The sequence below is a fragment of the Homo sapiens genome, chromosome 11 (assembly GCF_000001405.40).
Source record: "Homo sapiens chromosome 11, GRCh38.p14 Primary Assembly".
NCBI lineage: Eukaryota > Metazoa > Chordata > Mammalia > Primates > Hominidae > Homo > Homo sapiens.
The window spans coordinates 128,205,116-128,227,160 of record NC_000011.10 but is presented as its reverse complement, the minus strand read 5'-3'; the positions used below and the strand labels follow the sequence as shown (position 1 = coordinate 128,227,160).

The following is a 22,045-nucleotide window of genomic DNA, read 5'->3' as shown; positions in this document are numbered from 1 at the left end:
TTACTCTTAACATTTAGATCTGTAATCTGTAATACATCTGAAATTGAATATTTTGTTTGTTGGTTGCCTAGTTGGTATGATATGAGGCATGACTTCTCTCTGTATACATACTTATGTATATATATATATATATACACACACACACACACACATATATGCATATATATGTACACACACATACACATATGTACACACATACACATAGGTGTATGTACATACATACACATATACACACATATTTTTCTTTTGCCAGAATTATTTTCTTACAGTCTGGCATCCAAATTTAGCAATTACTCCCTGCCTCATGTCTCCTACAAATATAATTAGCATGCCATTAATACCAGCACAATAACTTTTTATTAAATAATTAAAATTAATTTAAAATTGAAGTAGACAAGTATTCTTAGGAGTCTTCTGTTGAAATGCAAATACATTTGGAGAAGAAGCACACTGAAATTTTGTAACACATATACACCTATTAGTGATTTATAAATCAGAAAGTCAGGCGCTTTTAGCAGCCCTATGGGAATTAGGTGAGAAATAGTTCTGAGAAACAGGATGGTGGTGAGGGTTAGCCAGCATGTGGTGCCTGGCTGGAAAGGGCCGGCCTCGGCAGGATGATGAAGCCAGGGCAATGTGCTAACTTAAGGCCAGAAGTGTCAGTGAGCTCTGAGAAGTGGGATGGAAAGGCAGAAAAGAAAAATATTTCTTGCCTTTAAATTGCGTGCAGGGCTGACTAAGAGTAACTAACTGTGATAATTTGTTTTTCCATAGAAGTACTAGCAAAGGACAATGAATGTTTCCATTACCCTCGCCCCCTCAACTTGTCATGCCAGTCCCCACGAGTCACCCAGCTTTCCCCAGTCTCAGTTTCTCCTCTTCATAGAGGGAGATGGGTGGATGGCTGTCTTGTCACTCTGTGCTGGAGCCTACTGCAGTTGTAGGGTTGCAAGACTCAAATGAGACTCCATAACCAGAAATAAATTATCTTCACTGCATCTCAGAAGACTACTTTGTTACCCGCTTCAACCTCCATACCTTTATGTGTGAGGCTGAATGCGAGAGTGTGTGTGTCAGAATTTAAGACCAATCTACCAGAATGCAAGCTTGGCATTTAAGGATATTCTCTGGAGAGAGGATCCATGATAGTGGAATCACCCCAGCAGAGGCTGAGGTGACAAACATTGAGGGGGGACATTGAAGAAGCGTCAGGGGAGGTAGTATAGAGTGTATGAAGGATGTTTCGACTCCTGGTTTTATATAAGAAGTTGGCTCTGTGCTCACTCCCCATGGGAAGTGCATCTGGCCCTTTTTGCACCTCAGTTATTAACATCTGCCTGTTCTTAGACTGAGTATATTTTAACACTCTATTTACATATACTAGTGCTGATAATTTTTTAACTGAAAAAAAATTTCTGGAGAAAATGACATTAAGGTTATTTAATTCCTTCATCAATTTGGTATCCAGAGTTAAATTGCCTCAATTTTTTTAAAAAAATTATTTTACTAAACTTGTTTTCATCTGGACAAATCCCTTTTATTGTAAATTTTATAAAAAATGTCTCCTTTGAATTTAAATCAATTTTTACCCATATGCAATTGTAAACTATCTTTTGTGGCCATAACTTCTACAAAGTCCAAATTTCATGTCTAAAAATGTTACCTAAATTTCTGAGAATATTTTGATATTTTAACAAATATTATTGTCATCAATATTTACTGTGTATAATTTTGCTTATTTTCAGTCTATCTAAAATGATTTCTATCAAATTTATTTTTTGTCTGTTTAATCATAAGGTGATTCTTTGCCCAATGTTTCACTTTCAACAATTTTACTGTGTGGAGTTTTAGCTATTGTTGATTTATTTGTGTGTTGATTGCTTCTATTATGCTTGATTTTTTTTTTTTTTTTTGAGATGGAATCTTGCTCTGTCACCCAGGCTGGAGTGCAGTGGCATGATCTTGGCTCACTGTAACCTCTGCCTCCCAGGTTCAAGCGATTCTCCTGCCTCAGCCTCCCAAGCAGCTGGGATTACAGGCATGCACCACTATGCTTGACTAATTCTGTATTTTTAGTAGAGATGGGGTTTCACCATGTTGGCCAGGCTGGTCTAGAACTCCTGACCTCAGTTGATCCACCTGCCTTGGCCTCCCAAAATGCTGGGATTACAGGTGTGAGCCACTGCACCTAGCTGCTGCTTGATTTTTTTATAATGTGTCAATTGTGTAAATGTTTACTTTACCAGCTAGTTATGATTCTTGAATTAATTTTTTATCTGTAATGGCAGGTTCAAAATGTTCACATAAGTTTCACTTTTACTTTTCTAAATCTGCATTAAAATGGCCTTGTACTTGAAAAAAGTTCTTTTTTTCTTCTTTAGAAATACATGTTCCATATTTCTCTACACAGATACAGAGGAGGGGGAAAACATATGTTCCTGTGGTAAGCAATCCCTTACACGTGGAGCCAAGGTAGAAAACAGGCAGGAATGATACGAAATCTGAAGTGAGGACTGGCTCTGAGAATAGCCATATCTAGTGGCAGCTGTGAGAGACCTATAACCAATGACAAGTGATGTCTTGGCTTGTAAAAAAAAGTCGTGACTCTTTAATAATTGCCATTCTGACTGGCATGAGATGGCATCTTACTTTGGTTTTGATTTGCATTTCTCTAATGATCAGTGATGTTGAGGTTTTTTGCATATGTTTGTTGACTGCTTAAATGTCTTCTATTGAGAAGTGTCTGTTCACATCCTTTGCCCACTTTTTAATGGTTTTTTTTCTCATAAACATGTTTAATTTCCTTGTAGATTCAGGATATTAGACCTTTGTCAGATGGATAGACTGCAAAAGTTTTCTCCCATTCTGAGATAGTTTCTTCTGCTGTGCAGAAACTCTTTAATTAGATCCCATTTGTTAATTTTTGCTTTTGTTGCAATTGCTTTTTATGTATTTGCCGTGAAATCCTTTCCTGTGCCTATTTCCAGAATAGTATTACTAGATTTTGTTCTAGGACTTTTATAGTTTTGGGTTGTAAATTTAAGACTTTAATCCATTTTAATTTAATTTTTGTAAATGGTGTAAAGAAGGGGTCCAGTTCCAATTTTCTGCACATGGCTAGCCAGTTCTCCCAGCACCATTTATTAAATAAGGAATTATTTCCCCGTTGCTTGTTTTTGTCAGGTTTGTCAAAGATTAGATGGTTGTAGATGTGCGGTCTTACTTCTGAGTTCTCTACTCTGTTCCATTGGTCTATGTGTCTGTTTTTCTATCAGTACCATGCTGTTTTGGTCACTGTAGCCTTGTAGTGTAATCTTAAGTCTATTTGTGGGAATGTAACTTAGTTTAACCATTGTGGAAGACAGTGTGGTGACTCCTGAAAGACCTTGAACCAGAAATACCATTTGACCCTGCAATTCCATTACTGGGTATATACCCCCCAAAATATAAATCATTCTATTATAAAGATACATGCACATGTATGTTATATTGCAACATTATTCACAACAGCAAAACTATGGAATCAACCCAAATGCCCATCAATGATAGACTGGATAAAGAAAATGTGGTGGCTGGGCCCGGTGGCTCACGCCTGTAATCCCAGCACTTTGGGAGGCCGAGGTGGGTGGATCACGAGGTCAGGAGATCCAGGCCAACATGGTGAAACCCGGTCTCTACTAAAAATATGAAAAATTAGCTGGGTGTGGTGGTGCGCACCTGTAATCCCAGCTGTTCTGGAGTCTGAGGCAGGAGAATCACTTGAACCCAGGAGACAGAGGTTGCAATGAGCCGAGATTGCGCCACTGCACTCCAGCCTGGCAATAGAGCGAGACTCTGTCTCTTAAAAAAAATAAAATAAAATAAGAAAAGAAAAAGAAAATGTGGTACATGGTACATATACACCAGGGAATACTATGTAGTCGTAAAAAGGAATGAGATCATGTCCTTTGCAGGACATGGATGGAGCTGGAAGCCATTATCCTCAGCAAACTAACACAGGAGCAGAAAACCAAACATCACTTCTTCTCACTTATAAGTGGGAGCTGAACAATGTGAACACATAGACACAGGAAGGGAACAACACACACTGGGGTCTGTCGGAGGGGGAAAAGCATCAGGAAATACAGCTTATGCATGCTGGGCTTAATAACTAGGTGATGGGGTGACGGGTGCAGCAAATCACCATGGCACGCATTTACCTATGTAACAAACCTGCACATCCTGCACATGCACCCAATAACTTAAAATTTAAAAAAGAGAAAGAAATCACAGCCAGTTCTCATTTGTGCTGAGGGGAATTCAGCAGGGGTAACCAAGCAGAAGCCAGGGCTCCCTGCTGAAGCCACAGTGCAGGTGTTAAATGTTTGGTGATTGCCCTAGTAATGCACTGTGTGGAGAGGCTAAAAACTGCTTTCTCCTTTGAGATCTCCTTGATGCCTTATCTTTCCAGGCTAAGTCAATCCCCCATTTCCTCCGAAATGTGTGTGATATTCTGAAGTGGAAATACTCTGAATTCCAGTTGCAGCTAAGGGCTTACTTGAGCATAGAAGAGGTTAAGTCTTCCGACTTAGGTCTCCTTTGTGGCTATTTGAAAAAATTCAGAGATGAGGATCTCCTTGGGTTCAGGAGATTGGTTTCCCAGGGGGACACCCAGAATCAGATTCCTGCACTGAGCAGACTTTGCATGGCTTCCCATGACCTGCTGCTATCTCAAGAATTTTTAAGTACTCAGAGAATGCCTTCTTGTTTATAGTGAAAAATAATTCAAGGTTTGAGGGATTTATTACTCAAGGCTGAAGGATAAACCTCTGCATTCTTCATTTCGGACCAAGGTGGCTCTCCCTAGAGGCTCTCAGCACCCTTGTTTCTTCTGGGCCGCACACTTCTTTTTTCAATAAGCTTCCGAGGCAGATAAGAAGAGGTGACCTCTGTCTCTACCCACTCTTCTGAAAGGTGGAGTCCACAGAACAAGTCTTGCATTTATATGAAATTGAAATCATTCATTGTTTAAAAGGCATTTATTGAGCATCTGCTGTGTGCAAAATATTGTTCTTTATGTTGTGAAAAATACAAAAAATAAAAACCCAAAACAGAAAACGACCAATCAGAATACATTATCTCTTTCCTCAAGGAGACAATACAGGAGAGAGGAAAAAGATGAATAATGTTACATCTCAAGCCAAAAGCCTGGACACTACCTTGTGAACTCCAAGGGAGACATTCAAGGGTGTGGAGAAAGCCCAAACATGCGAAGGCAGAATGTATACTTTATTTATCTCTGGGGTAAACAAAGACATGGAGGCAAAGATATTTTGTAGGATAGTTCAGGCTGAGTCCACAGCACACATGTTGTGGAGTGCTGGGAAATGAGATTGAAGGTGGAAATGGTAGACTGAGGCTATGCTGTGGCATGTTTTGGATACAGAATAATACTGTCCTGCCCAAAATCAGCATTCTTTGATTGCATGAAGAAAGTGGAATTTTATGATTAATCTGGTGCAGTTAGTAGGAAATCAGAAATAGGAAACTGACGCAGCATGGTCAGTGATGATAATTTTAATACACGTATTAACTGGTTAATCTTCCTAAGTCATTTATAATATATAGGGAAGACATTGTCTACACTTTACAGATGAATACATTGAAGGTCAGAGGGGTTAAATGACTTGTTAAAAGTTACACATAAGAGCCGGGTGCGGTGGCTCACGCCTGTAATCCCAGCACTTTGGGAGGCTGAGGTGGGCGGATTGCCTGAGGTCAGGAGTTCAAGGCCAGCCTGGCCAACATGGTGAAACCCCATCTCTACTAAAAATACAAAAAACAAAAAAAATTAGCCTGGTGTGGTGGCACACGCCTGTAATCCCAGTTACTCAGGAGGCTGAGGCAGGAGAATTGCTTGAGCCCGGGAGGTGGAGGTTGCAGTGAGCTGAGTTCATGCCACTGCACTCCAGCCTGGCCTACAGAGTGGGACTCTGTCTAAAAAAACAAACAAACAAACAAACAAAAACAAAAGTTACACATAAGATAAAAGGACCAGCCTTCACTTAGACCCAAGCTTCTTTACTCTCTGTGTGTCTTTGGTATTCCAAGTCCATCTTGTTCCAGAAACAACTAATCAGACCTCTTCTAAAATGTTCTGTAAAATTTAAGTTTTTGCAAACATAAGGTGGCTCTTGATCCACAGAGGTGGGAGGTGGGCATAATTATGCAAGATATCTTTGCAGAGATTTTTTAAAAGCAGAGGAAATATATGCTGACTTTCTAAATTCCACCTTTTTATTTTTTAGGCAAGGTCTAATTCTGTCGCCGAGGCTGGAGTGCAGTTATATAGCTCTCTGTAGCCTTAACCTCCTGGGCTCAAGTTATCCTCCCACCTCAGCCTCCCGAGTAGCTGGGACCATAGGCTTGCACCGCCATGCTGGCTAACGTTTGCATTTTTTGTAGAGATGGGGCCTTAGCATGTTGCCTGGGCTGATCTCTTATTCCTGGACTCAAATGATCCTCCTGCCTTGGACTCCCAAAGTGCTGGGATTACAGGTGTGAGCCACTGTTCCCAGCCTAAATTCCACTTCTTGAATAGTCCTGTCCATTTCAGTGTCTTGTGATGAAGAGATTTTATTTGAAGACTAGTGAAAATATAGCGAAATTCATTCAGTGCTGAGATACTCCCTGCTAGTGAGTAATTTATAAAGGCAAGTTATTTTTCTTAGGCGAATAGGATGTGACTGAACAATTATTATAACACTTCTGTGTTCATAGATCCAAAGCTACAGCTTTTCTTATTGCTAGAGGTGGGATGTCACATCGTTGTAACTTGGCAACGGATAAGTTTACCAAGTTCTATTCAACATAACTTTTTTTTTTCTGGCTTCATTTATGATGCAAGGGACTGTTGGGACTCCAGGAGGAAAAAGACTTTTTATCTAGAGAAAAATTTAGCTTATTTAGAGTCAGTTCTCTCTGGGGTTTTAGGAAAAACATCCAGAGTTGCCATGATTTGCCTCTTCCAATACTTCCTGGTTGTAAAACTTTCTTTTTAAATAATCTCTCCTACTCTTCCTCTTCTCACCCTACACTGTGCCCACCATTACAGATATATGGATATAAACTCAAGGCGCACATGAGCTGCTGAGACAGGGAGAGAATTCTATTCATTTGGCAGAAGTGGATTAAGGAAGAGACAGAGGCAGTCGGTTCCTACGACACTCACCAGAGGCTTGTTTTCTGGTTTTCAGTTTCCCTTTCCTTCTTGTTTTTTTCTTGGCCCTTTCACCCCCTCACCAAAATTATTTTTGTTTCACGCCATTTTGGATATTGTTCCCTCTCTGTATTCTGGTATATTCCCAGATCAAGTCAACAGCTAAGCAAATATCTTGTAAGTCATTTTCTCCTTATTGTGAATTCCAGGGACTGAAAGACCAACATGAAAAGATTCCAGACACCAGGAAGACAGTGTCTCTACTTTTAATTCATTGTTGATTAACTTGTTCATTGAAGACCTGAATTCTGACAGTAAAAAAAATTATTCTTCTCTAATAACTATTTTCAGACATGTCCTTTTGTATCTTCCTTTCCCACTTCTCATCACAGCTCAAGCATATTTCATAGATTTGTGGTCACATTCTGGGATTGCTAAATCCATTGAAACCTCATATCTCATATGCAATACTATTTATCTGCTCTATCCAAATTCAGATTTAACTCATTGTTCAGGGATCATGTGTGTGTGTGTGTGTGTGTGTGTGTGTGTGTGTGTGTGTGTGTGTGTGTAGGGAGGGAATGTTTAATTTTCCATCATTCCTTTACTTCCTCTCTCTGCTGCTTCCGACTTCCCAGGGAGAAGGAAGGGAAAGGGATGAAGGGTTGGAGACAGGTGTATAGAAGCTGTGCTGGCTACTGCTGCACTCTCTCCTTTACAATGGTAGCTACTCCAGACAGTCTCCTGCCTTAGGAATGCACCATAAAAGAAGCAGTTATTGGTTTCCATTCTAGCCTATAAACTTTAAACCCCAGTGCATGCTTGTCATACCTGGGTGAAATTCCTCAGCTCAGCAGCAGTACTGATTTAAGCATAAGTGATTCTGCAGCTCCGCTTAATTAGGCTGGTGAATAAGTTGCCAGTCTTCTTGAGGCACTTCAACTCCATCTCTGTGGAGACCCTCTTGAAAAATCCCCACAATGGGAAGGAGAGGAGAAAGGCCAGAGCGTTTCTCTCATGCTCTTCCTACTCTAACAACTCTCATTTATGAATTCCTTTTAGATTTCTGGCCTTGCTTGGTAGAAGCTGGTTGCTTCTCCAGAAGCTACCTGGCTTGAGGGGCACAGGACTAATCCTACTATTTTTTATTAAGCCCTAGAAGGTATATGTTGTAATTCCAAGATATTATCTTTAGGAGAAAGGAGCAATTATCTATTGCCCCTTAATTTGGGGCTGATAGAAAAGGAAAATTCTATTTAATATTCTGTTTAACATTCTTGTATTCTCAGACCCAATATAATGTATGGCATATAGTAGAGGTCTATTCAATATTTATTTACTGAAGGAATGAATAAATGAATGAATAAAAGAAAGATCAAATAATTAAAACTGAAGAAAAAGGAAAATCATTCTGGTTCAATGGTCCTAAAATTATATTAATGGCAATCTTATTAGTTATCTATTGTTGCCTAATAAATTTCTCCATAACATTTATTATCTTAGAATTTGTGAGAGACAGGAATTTAGGAGGAGCTTAGCTGAATGGCCTGGACCATGGTCCCTCATGAAATTGTGGGCAAGATGTTGGCCAGAGCTGCAGGCATCTGAAACCTTGACTGGACTGGAGAATCCATATCCAAGATGGTGCACTCACAGAGCTGATGTCTCCACCACATGGCTTCTCCATAGAGCTACACACAATGTGGCAGCTGGATTTCCTCAGAGCCATAGTCAGAGAGAGACAGAGACTATACCAGAAGCTGCAATGTCTTTTATAACCCAGTGTTGGAAGAGACATAATTGCCATTTCTGACATAGTCTATATTTCACACAGGCTAACTCCAGTATAATGTGCAAGGTGACTACACAAGAGTGTGAATAGCAAGAGGCAAGAATCATTGAGGCTCATCTTGGAGCTTGACTATACCACAGCAGACTATTAATATGTTTTAACCCTTTGAATGCTCATAAATTCAACAACACAGAAAAAAACAGACCAATTCCTTGAAAACCACCAGCCACCCAAACTCAGCCAAGATGAGTTTGCCAATCTGAATATTTCTATAACCATTAAGGAAATTCAATTTGTAATTAAGATGTCTGGAAGAAGAAATGTCCAGGTCCAGGTGGTTTCACTGGAGAGTGCTACCAACTTTTAAGAAGGATTGACACCAATTTTAGGTAATATTTTTCATCTCATTTTTTGAGACTAGAATTACTCTGATACCAAAAACTGAAAAGAAAATACAAATTTAAAAAAATAAAGAAAACTATAGGCAATTATTCCTCATAACAAAAATCCTCCACAAAATATTAGCAAATCAACTACAGCAATATATAAAATGAATTATATACCATGACTAAGCAGGCTTTATTCCAACTATGTGGGGCCGATCTAACATTCAAAATCGACCAGTATAATTCGCCATATCAACATGTTAAAGAAGAAAAATCACATGGTCATATAAATCAATATAGAGCAAAGCATTTGACAAAATTCAACATCCATTCATGATTGAAAAAAATAACTCAGAAAAATAGGAATAGAAGGGAACTTCTTCAACTTACTAATGAGCATCTATAATAACCCTTTATCTAACATCACACCTAAGTGTAGATGACTTTCTCACCAAATTTTCTCCCTAAGATTAGGAACAAGGCAAGGATATCTATCCACTAACCTTAATCAACATAGTACTAAAAGTTTCAGCCATTACAATAAGGCAAATGAAACAAACAAACAGGTTGGAAGTTTGTAAAGTAAGAAATAAAACTGTCCCTATTTTCAGATGACATAATTATTTACATAGAAAATTTCAAGGAATCTGCCTCCCAAAAAGTCCTCAAGTTTTCAGAATACAAGACCAACACACAAAAATTAGTCACATTTCTGTGTACTAACAACAAATACCTGAAAATCAAAATTAGACACACAATTCAAAACACAATCTTTTACAAAATAACTCCAAAGAAAATGAAATACTTAGCTATAAACTTAACAGGATATGTACAATCTCTTTATGCTGAAAATTATAAAATGCTATGATGAAACTTAAGAGCTAAATAAATGGGAATACTGTGTTTATGAATTGAAAAGACTCAAAATAATACAATTGTCAATTCTCCCCAAATTGATCTATAGGTATAATATAATTCCTATCTAAATCTCAGCAAGACATTTTGTAGACATACACAAGTGTATTTGAAAATTAGTATGAAAAGACATATAGCCTAGAAATGTGACAACAATCTTGAAAGTAAAGAATAAAGTGGGAAGAGGCACTCCACCCGATACGAAGGCTTACTAAGGCTGCAGTAATCAAGACAGTGTAGAATTGGTGGAGAGACAGACATAGATCAATAGAAAAAGAGCAGAATAGATAATGCAGGTGCAGACCTAAATATGCCCATATGATTATTTAAACTTTTTATTTTGAGATAATTATAGATTCACATGCAGCAGTAAGACATAATAGAGAAAGATCCCATGTGAACTTTACCTAGTCTTCCTCAATGGTAACATGTTGCAAAACCATTGTATAATATTACACCAGGATATTGACATTGATATGGGCAAGAGATAGAAGAGTTCTGCCATCACAAAGGTCCTGTATTGCTGTTTCGTAGCCACAGTTTCCTACCACCTCCCTCAGTCTTTAAAAATCACCAATCCATTTTCCATTTCTCTAATTATGTCACCTAAAGAATGTTGTATAAATGAAATCAAATAGTATGTAGGCCTTCAGGGCTGGCTTTTTTTTTTTTCTTTCACTCAGCCTAATTCCTTGGATACAAATTTTTGCATGTATCGGTAGTTTGGTATTTTTTTTTTTTTTAAATCACTGGGTAGTGAGTGTTTCGTGCTATGGATACAGCACAGTTGGCTGAAGCATTCATCTGTTGAAGGACATCTGGTTTGCTCTAGTACTTGGACATTATGGATAGAGCTGCTCTAAACATTCATATACAGGTTTTAACCACCATATTGATTTAGGTTGAACAAACACATCTAAGGAAATGTTTCCATTTGTGGAAATATCTTCAGTAATTATAAAATATTACTGAGATATTTAAGCAGTTACGGGGAAGGGAAGGTGTTCCAGAAGATTTTAAGCACTCTTCACTTTAATCCTTGTGAGAGGTGACAACATGCTGGCGGCCCACACTCGCTCTCAGCGCCTCCTCGGCCTGGGCATCCGCTCTGGCCACGCTTGAGGAGCCCTTCAGCCCGCCAGTGCACTGTGGGAGCCCCTCTCTGGGCTGGCCAAGGCTGGAGCCTGCTCCCTCTGCTTGCGGGGAGGTGTAGAAGGAGAGGCGTGGGCGGGAACCTGGGCTGCAGCATGGCACTCGTGGGCCAGGGCGAGTTCCAGGTGGGCGTGGGCTCGGCAGGCCCTGCTTAGAGGCAACGGCTGGCGCCGCCGGCCCTGGGCAATGAGGGGCTTAGCACCCGGGCCAGCAGCTGCAGAGGGGGTGCCGAGTCCCCCCAGCACTGCTGGCCCACCCATGTCGTGCTCAAATTCTTGCCAGGCCTCAGCTGCCTCTCCATGGGGCAGGGCTCAGGACCTGCAGCCTGCCATGCCCAAGTCCCCCCGTGGTGCGCTCCAGTGCAGCCTGAGCCTCCCTGACGGGTGCCGCCCACTCCTTCTAGGCTCCCGGTCCCATTGATCACCCAAGGGCTGAGAAGTGCAGGTGCACAACATGGGACTGGCAGGCAGCTCCACCCGTGGCCCTGGCACCGGATCCACTAGGCGAAGCCAGCTAGGTTCCTGAGTTGGGTGGGGACATGGAGAACTTTTTTGTCTAGCTGGAGGATTGTATATGCACCAATCAGCACTCTGTGTCTAGCTCCGGGTTCGTGGATGCACCAGTCAGCACTCTGTATCTAGCTAATCTGGTGGGGACTTGGAGAACTTTTATGTCTAGCTAAAGGATTGTAAATACACCAATCAGCATTCTGTGTCTAGCTCAAGGTTTGTAAACACACCAATCAGCACTCTGTGTCTAGCTCAAAGTTTGTAAACGCACCAATCAGCACCCTGTGTCTAGCTCAAGGTTTGTAAATGCACGAATCAGCACTCAGTGTCTAGCTCAAGGTTTGTAAATGCACCAATCAGCACTCTGTATCTAGCTAAAGGTTTGTAAACACACCAATCAGTGCTCTGTGTCTAGCTAATCTGGTGGGGACTTGGAGAACTTTTACGGTCTAGCTGGAGGATTGTAAATGCAGCAATCAGCACTCTGTGTCTAGCTCAGGGATTGTAAATGCACCAATCAGTTACCTGTCAGAACGGGCCAATCAGCTCTCTGTAAAATGGACCAATCAGTTCTCTGTAAAATGGGCCAATCAGCAGGATGTGGGTGGAGTCAGATAAAGGAATAAACGCAGGCTGCCCGAGCCTGCAGTGGCAACCCAGTCTTTGTTGTTTCACTCTTTCTGATAAATGTTGTGGCTGCTCACTCTTTGGGTCCCCACTGCTTTTAACGAGCTGTAACACTCACCACGAAGGTCTGCAGCTTCATTCCTGAGGCCAGTGAGACCACGAACCCACCGGGAGGAGTGAACAACTCCAGATGCCCTGTCTTAAGAGCTGTAATACCGCAAAGGTCTGCAGCTTCACTCCTGAAGCTAGCGAGACCAAGAACCCACCAGAAGGAAGAAACTCTTGAACACGTCTGAACTTCAGAAGGAACAAACTCCTGACACACCATGTTTAAGAACTGTAACACTCACGGCAGGGGTCCACGGCTTCATTCTTGAAGTCAGTGAGACCAAGAACCCACCAATCTCGGACACATTTGTGCCTCTCCACAGGCCTCTCCTTTAAACTCTTTCTTCGTTCAGATGTCCCTGACACCCCATCCTTACCCAACAGTCGTTGAGACACCTTATCTCTTTCCACCAGATCCTGAAGCCTGTGTGTTTAGTTCCCTTCTCATGTCTCTCAAATTCCGGTTAGGAAAAAGAAGGATGGATTCTGATTCTGTTTGGATTGATGAAGAAGAAAAGGAAAAGAAAATGGTTATCTTCAGAAGTTATCTGATTTCCTACTAAATTCCTAAACTCAAACATAGTTCACCAACATTGCTATTTCCTTCCAATGGTGTGTATCTAGTTTGCATAAAAACGTATTATCCATTTATTAACATGGCTTTTGCCTTTTTTGTTGTGAAGGAATAACCAAGATTTAGTTATTCTAAAAGTATGGATACCTATATCTTGGCCTTAAATTCATTTTAAGGCTTTATTACATTGACTAAAAATGCCTTTGTCTGAGTTTTTTAGATAAATGGCACAATGCCAAAACTTCATCTAGCATCTTACATATAGATTCAACTCAATAAACATCTGATGAATTAATACTCCTTTTTTTTATTTTTAGAGCATAGTGGGGATTAGGGAGATAGTGAAAGCAATTTATAGTGCCACCTGAGGCATGGTGAAGAAAGCAGGGAGCTGTTTACAAATATTTTAGAGATCATATGTGAAACTAGGATTGGATTTATAGAAATGATAGATTATCATACATGTCTTTACAGAGCAGAGAGATGGTCAGTGGCTGGAACTATCAGGTTGATAGACACAGGCCATCTCGTGAAAGATCTTTCCAATAATGAGCTATTTAGAACTGAGAATCCACTGATATTTGAAGTAGTAATCTACCCATCATCAGGAATATTCTACTAAAAATTTCAACATTAAGGAAGAAGATATTGTGGCATTGAGTGAAAAGTAGAGCGACATAATCTTGAAGGCCCATGCAGTTCTAAGATTCTACATGGTTATGCCCATTGATTTAAAAAATTCTGTAAATTTTTTAACATTCAAAAATGTGCATAAATGTAGACTTGTGAACAAGTTCCTATTAAAATATTCCTATACATAATGCCATTGGAAACAAAGTCATTTGCTCAATCACCAAGTGGTTTGGGCATCTTTAACTAAATAAACTGGAAACTAGACGCATGAAGAAAATATTGACATGGACTGGCAGAAATGTAAAATCTGTTACAAACGCTGACAAATTTCAGAGCATTAACTCTATTTTGCGGAATCCCTAATGTTTTATTGAAAAGGGAATATTCTTTAACTCAACACTATACTAGTTGTTATGGTTAGTCTTCTGGTTAACTCAGCTAAAAAGCAGGTTATTTAATCAAACGCTAGTCTGGGTGTTACTGTGAAGTTATTTTGCTGATGCAGTTGTCTTTAAGTAAAAGGTATTACCCATGATAATGTGGACGAATGTCATCCAATCAATTGAAAGCTGAACAGCACAGTAAGCTGAACCATTCGTCTGTTGAAGGACAGTCTAAGGGATACCCTGGAGGAGGAATTCTGTCTCAAGGCCCTAGCATCAAATCTGTAGCATCAAATCCTACCAGAGTTTCCACACTGTGAGCCTGACATATGGGTTTCAGACTTGACAGTCCTGACAACTGGGATGAGGCAACTACTCAATCAATCAAACAAACAAGGGTGGATTGACATATTCTCTTGGTTCTTTTTCTATGGAGGATCCTGACTGATACACTAGTTCTCTTATGTCCACTACTGAAATGCCTGCCTTAGGGAGAAGATGTTGTAATTTGATTGGTATATTCCAGAGTGTACTGAAGTCAAAATCATGATTGCATTAAAATGGTATAGCTCTCTTTACCTCCATTTATATTTCTTTTGTGCCATACCTTCATTTATGCAAGCATTTTTTGCATTAATTCATCTTTATATGAGCCAAATGATTGTAGTCATCTGTGGTGGCCTAGTTCAAGAATTTGATAAGATTGCTCACTGTTGGACATAGAAAAAATCTTAGAAATCAACCAGGCCAAACTCTCACTTAATAGACATGGAAGAAAGATAGCAAAATGATTGCTATTGCTAGTACTGGGCTGAGCAGCCATGTTTCACACACACAATTTTGTCATTCTACTCTGCCTTCCTCTTCCTCCTGCCAGTAGTCTCCTCTCTCCCCGAGAAAATGAAAACTGACTGATTTTGCTACCATACGGTAAACCAAGCTAGCGTCTGGAATGAGGACAGATGATTATGGATGGAGTATACAAAATCATGAGGAACAGAAGTTGCTACGTTCTATTCTGGATTCCTACTGTGAGCAAAGGCATTCAATTCTCCAAAATTAGGGTGAACAGCCACATCCTTTGGTTTCTGGAGCCCTCTAGGAACTCTGGCACAATCAAACTAATACATTAGACTTGAATTCACATATGGTTCAAATATGTACCTTTCTCTGTCCAAATATAAAGCATCCAAGAATGAAAAAGATCTTTTGCTTCCAACAGCAACTGGTAGAATTTGTTCCCTCTCTAAATATAGTTTCATTTTTGAAATAAAACCAAGAGATTAACAAACAGATTATGATATTTGTACAGAAAAAGTGAAATGCAGTGTCTTAGATTTGATGCTGAAGTGGGACATCGGCTTTCTTCTTGGAAGTGTGACTCTTCATTGTATATGGTTGCGAATACTCTTCCAGCTGGCATTTTATACCCTGATGTTACTCATTTTTTATTGGGGAGCAGGAATTTGGGTTATGAGGCAAATAAGTTCTTAATGCCTAGAAACAGATTGAAATACAGTGTTATAGATCTTACAACATTTTCCTACAGAGATTAAAAATATTCAGAGATTCCTGAGTTTTAGTCACATGAAATTTTGTGCTTACGCCTTTTTCTCAATTTTGCACATATAATCCAAAGAATAAATGAATGACTCTAAATTAATGTCTCTAAAAGGTTGCTAGACATAGTACCTCATTGGATCTCGATGTTAACCCTATGATGCACATTAGGCTGAAAAAACTAAAGCTACAATAGAGAGTTTTGTGATTTCCCAACATCAATTAACTAGTGATCAGCAGAGTAGGATCTTAAATCTATGTTTTTTTGTCTCTAAATGTCATGTCTTTTGATTAAGATTTTTAGCCATATAGATTATGAAAAAGAAAAGTTAAACAATGGAACCACTCTATTTCTTATTTATGATTTGATAAAGATTGGCTCTCCTGGAATTTAATTCTCAGTGTCTAAATTTAATATCAAGTTTTCTAATAAAGTTTTATTTTTATATCTGTGGAATGCATGTCTGCCATAAATGTTGAGCAATTTCCACACTGTTGTAAGTAATGAATGTGAAATTCAAGTGCTTCTGTGATTTATGCCAGGTTGTTGGCATTCAACCATGACTCACAACTCCAAGCCAGCAGTTCTAAATCTCTCCAGTCCCACCTTTCAGTTGGGGAGTTCCCAGGGTTAATGGTCTTTGGAGCCAATATGCTCCCTGAGTTAGCTTTGAAGGTGATTCATTGCTCTGGTATGAAGTTTGAGGACGAGCCAGTTTAGGTGGATTCCATTCAGCACCCAGTTCAACAGACAACACAAGACTGATTCAAACCCTGGCTCTCCCACCTAAATAAATGTTACAAAATCAACACACATTCACTTTACAATAATTTGATTTGCATTTTTAATTCAGTCACCAGTTGTCTACATTGGACAATGTGGAAAAGAAAAGTTGACTTGCTTATTACTGTCGGCTTATGCTGGCAGGAGGGTTAATCTTTGCCCAGAAAGTGTACATGTCACAGCTGAGTCAGTCTATCTGTCTAGAACACTCCTCAACACTTACGCTGTTACTTGTCTGAAGAAGTCTGTTTTTCATCCTCTGTTTTGATGAATGCCCATATTTTTACTCAAACTTGAGCCTTTTTTCAACCAGTAAAAATAAACCTTCTTGTCCTAAATAAAAAAGACCACCTCAAAAGGTGGTTCAAAAGGCATCTTGGAAATCAAGTAGCACTTACGCAGCATGATTTGCTTGTATTACTGTAAGTGACAATGACTCAAAATCATATGGATTAAATTTTCTTACAAATAAATACAGGGTCACTAATATAGAGTTTGGTTTGTATTTTGCCAATACTACAGCAACTTAATAAGGAGTCGTAGCCTTTCTTGAACCAGAAGGATCTGCTGTTCAACAGTAGAAAGTAAAATGGATCACAAATATGTAATGTTCCAATAGATATCAAGGCATTCTAAAGTCTTTTTTAAAATTAGGCTAGCTGTTGATTTTGGTTATAGTTAAAAATTTGCAAATGCTGTAATTTTTAAGTTAACATAAACAAATACTATTGTGGTTAATTAAAACATTTCTTTTTTCATTAAAAGGCATTGCCAGTAATGAAACTAGGGACAAATATTTAAGACGAAAAGGGACAAGGAGCAAGTCACTGACAAAGCAAAACAAGAATTGAAAATTTCTTCTTCCAAGCCCCTTACTCATTTTTTGCCTTCCAACTTCATCTAGTGATTAAAGATAACATAATATTAACAGTAACACATAAGATGAAAATAGTACTAAATGCAATAATGCAACCTTAACTAAATGTAAAAAAGTAACTTAATATCCATGCTTAGAAATGGATTACTTAATGATTCAATAGTTGGACTCGTCCAGCTAACATATAGGCAAAATATGGTTCTAAACTGGAGAAATTATTATCTGAAGACAATTGATAAGATCCTCCTTTTTTCAGCCATGTCACCAGTTATATGTAAATAACTATAGGGTATATTGAATAATTCAACTTCATCTGGATAATGCTGGACAAAACTCTAGAGAGGAATTGTAAAAATCAAATGTTTTTATTTTTATAATTTTGACTCAAAGCCAAGTCTTACAGGATTTTGCTTGGAATTATATTCTTTTATTTGCAAGCAAAGAGTTCCCTAGGCTTTTAGATTGGCAGAGCTAGTAAAATACTGTTCATCTGAGGCTGTTGAATCTTAGCATTCTAAAAAGTTCCAGTCTACTACTGCTGCTAAACTTAACCTCAGGTGAGCCACACCACTGAGGCATGAGGTTCACTATTCTTTCCAGTGTATGAAGTGAAAGTTCCTTCTGCCTGTGGTTTGACGAACACACTCAGACAGGATCAACCTGAGTAAGGCCAGTTCTTTAGCTTTTCATTGCTTTGCCAATTACTACTTTAGTGCTTACCAGGTATTCAGGTACAGCGTGAGGTCCAAGCAATATTTTTAGTTCCAGGGAACTCAAAGTCTGGTAGTGCAGAGAAATGTTGAAATAAATAATTATGGTCAAATATGAATCTATAATAGAAGTAGACATAGAGTGCTGTGGTCTTTCAGAATTCCGAATGACTAGTTTTTTGAGGTTGGAGTTGGGGCGAGGCTGTATCAATTGTCTAGTACGGTGTAACAAATCATTCCAAAAAAGAACCTTCAAACAAAAGGTATTGTTCATGATTTTGCTCTGGGATCTGGGCTCAGCCACACAGCTCTTCTGTTGGCATCTCTTGGGATTACTCATGGTGTTTTGGCTGCAGCCAGAGGATCCAAGAAAGTTTCCTTCACATACTTGGCAGTAACATCGAATTTGCAGCTGAGTGTCTTGGCTCTCTTCCATGTGGCTTTTCCAGCATATTGACCCAGGTTTTTAATATGGGGGCAGCAGCTTTCCAAGAGAGTGAGAACAAAAACTGCAAGGCCTCTTGAGTGAGACTGGACAGTCACACAGTGCCACCTCTACTGCATTCAACTGGTGAGAACAATTAACTGGGCCATTCCAGAATCAAGAATGGGGAAAACTGTCTCCACCTCCTAATGCGAGGAGCTGAAAGAAGTGGCCATTCTAAACCACAGGGGTTAGTTAGGGAATATGTCAAAGCAACCACTTTTGAACTGGGCCCTAAAAGATTTGTGTGTGTTTTCTGTGCTTGAATGTGTGTGTGTGTGTGTGTATGTATGTGTGTGTTGGGACAAGGGATATTCCAGGAATGGCAGAGGGAACATTCCAAACTTAGTGATTAGCAGGAACAATGGGTGGTGCAATATTTGTGAAACTGCAAGTAAATGTACGTGGATGAATATAGAATGCATCATATCCTCTGGGGTAAGGGTAACCTGAAGAAGAATGATGGTGAAAGGAGTAAGAAAAAAAATAGGTCTAGAGAGGCAGGTTGGGCAAATATTGTGAAAGAGTTTATGTGAGCGACTCAGTGATGTGGAATTTATCCTGTAGGCACTGGGCAACCAGGAATCATTTTCACAAGTTTCAGGACTTTCAGGGAAGGCACTGACTAAACGTTTGTCACATAAATACAACCAAGTTAGTGACAGAATTTGATTTGCCATCCTTGAAAAACATTGGATAAGATTAAGAAGACCTTATAATTCTCCAGCTGACCTCTGTGTCTTCTTCCATCTGGGTCCCTGAACTACCAGTAGTAGCCCTCAATCTAATGGTGGCTTCCAAAGTGTTTCAAGTAGCGATCTAACTAGGGAAGGATGAAGACTAGAAAAGATCTTGAACAGGATACTTGGCTTTACACAACTGGTGTGCTTATTTGGAGTAGGTCTGGAGGTCTGCTCAAGATTAACAGTGGGGGTGCCAAGAAACAACACGTTGGCACCAAGACTGAGGAGCCCTCTTCTCCCAAGCTGCTCACCCCTGTGGTAATGTAGGTCAACAGTTGAAAGTTAATGTTGATGTTGATTATTGAATGAAAGAAACTTTTCCTTAGCTTAAAAAAAAACTTTCAAAGTAATTATAGACTCAGAGTGTTGTGCAAAAGAGTACCTAGGAACCCCTGCACCATTCACCCAGCTTCCCCCAAGCATGACATCATATTATAATGGTAGTACAACATCAAACAAGGAAATTGACATTGGTACATTGCTGTTAACTGGACTATAGATCTTATTTAGTTTTCAGTACTTTTACATGTATTCATGCATGTGTGTATGTATGTAGTTCTATGCAATTTGTCCGATATACAGATTCATATAATCATTATCACATTCAAAATACAGAATTCTTCTATCACCACAGAATAACTCCTTCATGCTACCCCTTTATGTTTGTACCTCCTGTATTTGTTTATTTGTGTTTCTATAAAGGAATATCTCAGGCTTGTTAATTCAAAAGGAAAAGAGGTTTATTTAGCTCATAGTTCTGCAGGTTGCACAAGAAGCATGGTGCCAGCATCTGCTTCTTGTGAGGGACTCAGGCTGCTTCCACTCATGGCAGAAGGGCAAGAGGAGCTGGCATGTTCAGATTATATGGCAAGAGAAAAATCAAAAGGGGGAGAATGTGCCAGGATCTTCTTAACAACCAGCTCTTGAGCAAACTCTTTCAGGAAATAAGAGTGAGAACTCACTCATTACTGCAAGGATAGGATCAATCCATTCATGACTGATTCATCCCCAAGAACAAACACCTCCAATTAGGCCCTACCTCCAACACTGGGGATCAGATTTCAACATGAGACCTGGTGGGGCCAAGCAAACCATATCTAAACCCTAGCACCCCCATTCCTCTGAGTTTGATTTCATAAATGTGATGGTGTCAGAATGATTGTATTGGAGAAGTATGCCTTAAGACACTAGAATCTGTTTCCTGGGAGCTTTATGGATTACATATTATGAGTTACACAAAGTTTTGTTTTATTTTCAGTCCTGAGATCAGCTAGCTTAATGTGTGTGGGTGAAGAACTGGATAATTTAAATTGGTTCTAAGTGTAAAGACTTGTTTTGCTTGAATGTTATTCTGTTGCTTAATGAGAACTACCCTATAATCCTTTCTGCCCTTCCTTCTCCCCTAGTCCACCAAAAAGATCAATCTCAAAATTTACTCTATCTTCTTTTGCAGAGGTCATTACTTTAGGTGTCACCACTGTCTTCTGAAAGCCCAATTAAATACATACATGTGATATGGTTTGGATCTGTGTACCTGCCCAAATATCACATTGAATTGTAATACCCAGTGTTGGAGGTGGGGCCTGGTGGGAGGTGATTGGATCATGGGGGTGGTTTCTCATGAATAGGTTAGCACCATCTTCTTGGTGCTCCTTTCATGATAGTGAGTGCTCACAAGATCTGATTGTTTAAAGGTGTGTAGCACATCCCTCCTCCCTCTCTTGCTCCTCCCCCAGCCATGTGAGTCACCTGCTCCAGCTTTGCCTTCTGCCATGATTGTAAGTTTCTTAAGTTTCTTGAGGCCTCCCCAGAAGCAGAAGCTGCTGTGCTTCCTGTACAGCCTGAAGAAGTGTGAGCCAATTAAACCTCTTTTCCATATAAATTACCCAGTCTCAGGTATTTCTTTATAACAGTGTGAGAACAGACTAATACAAGATATATTTATACAATATGTAGTGTATTTGAGATACAATCATCATGACTTTAGAGGTTCTCATCTATTAATTAAAAACTAGTGGAAATAGAGTGATTAAGTGATTAAGGATAGGAGAGACAGTGATGACAGAGACAGTGATGGTAGTGATTAAGGATGATACAGATCAAAGTCTAGTTTAGTATCATCCAGAAACAAAATAATCCTAGATATCAAAGTTATTTGATATGGATTATGGCTATTATGGAAAATATTTGCTTGTGAATTAAAAATATAAAGGGCCTAACTTTCATTATTTTTGTCAGCATCTCTCTTGTCTCTCCATTAATCTATGGGTTTATTGACTGTTAATGGAAGAATATATCCCAAGAGGAAAATAGCACACCTTTTTTTAAAGAGTATGTTAGATAATTGAGACTTGACTATTCCTACTGTAAGATAGAATGCTATGTGAATTAGGATGCTGTAAGGGAAAGAAGAAACACTTAAATGTTCTGGTATAACATTTGTATTTCATAGTCTACAGAGATAATGTGACTGTGCTGGTTACGAATATTTTAACCAATTTTAGTATAAAATTCCTGTTTCAAAACCCTATGAATCAGTTATAGTCTGACTTATACACTCACACAAGACATACTACAACTATATTTATTTTATTTATTTCCAATCAATTC

The 22,045-nt window shown here is 39.2% G+C and overlaps 1 long non-coding RNA gene across 1 annotated transcript in view, besides 1 other annotated feature; it reads right to left on the bottom strand.

Moving 5' to 3' along the window:
* LINC02098 (long intergenic non-protein coding RNA 2098) overlaps positions 1-18,395 on the bottom strand; it is a 32,676-nt gene extending 14,281 nt beyond the window's left edge. The window contains exons 1-3 of the long non-coding RNA NR_146647.1: positions 18,219-18,395; positions 15,442-15,523; positions 13,065-13,179 (exon numbers count right to left, since the gene is read on the bottom strand). This is a non-coding gene — a long non-coding RNA (long intergenic non-protein coding RNA 2098). The remainder of the gene's footprint in view (positions 1-13,064; positions 13,180-15,441; positions 15,524-18,218) is intronic.
* Positions 16,313-16,814: an enhancer, noted in NCBI's record as "NANOG hESC enhancer chr11:128080242-128080743 (GRCh37/hg19 assembly coordinates)". NCBI's record gives its function as "activates a minimal SCP1, AML or CMV promoter by ChIP-STARR-seq in naive H9 embryonic stem cells {active_cell/tissue: H9 hESC(naive)}" and the evidence as "EXISTENCE:reporter gene assay evidence [ECO:0000049][PMID:30033119]".
* Positions 18,396-22,045: the final 3,650 nt, after the last annotated feature.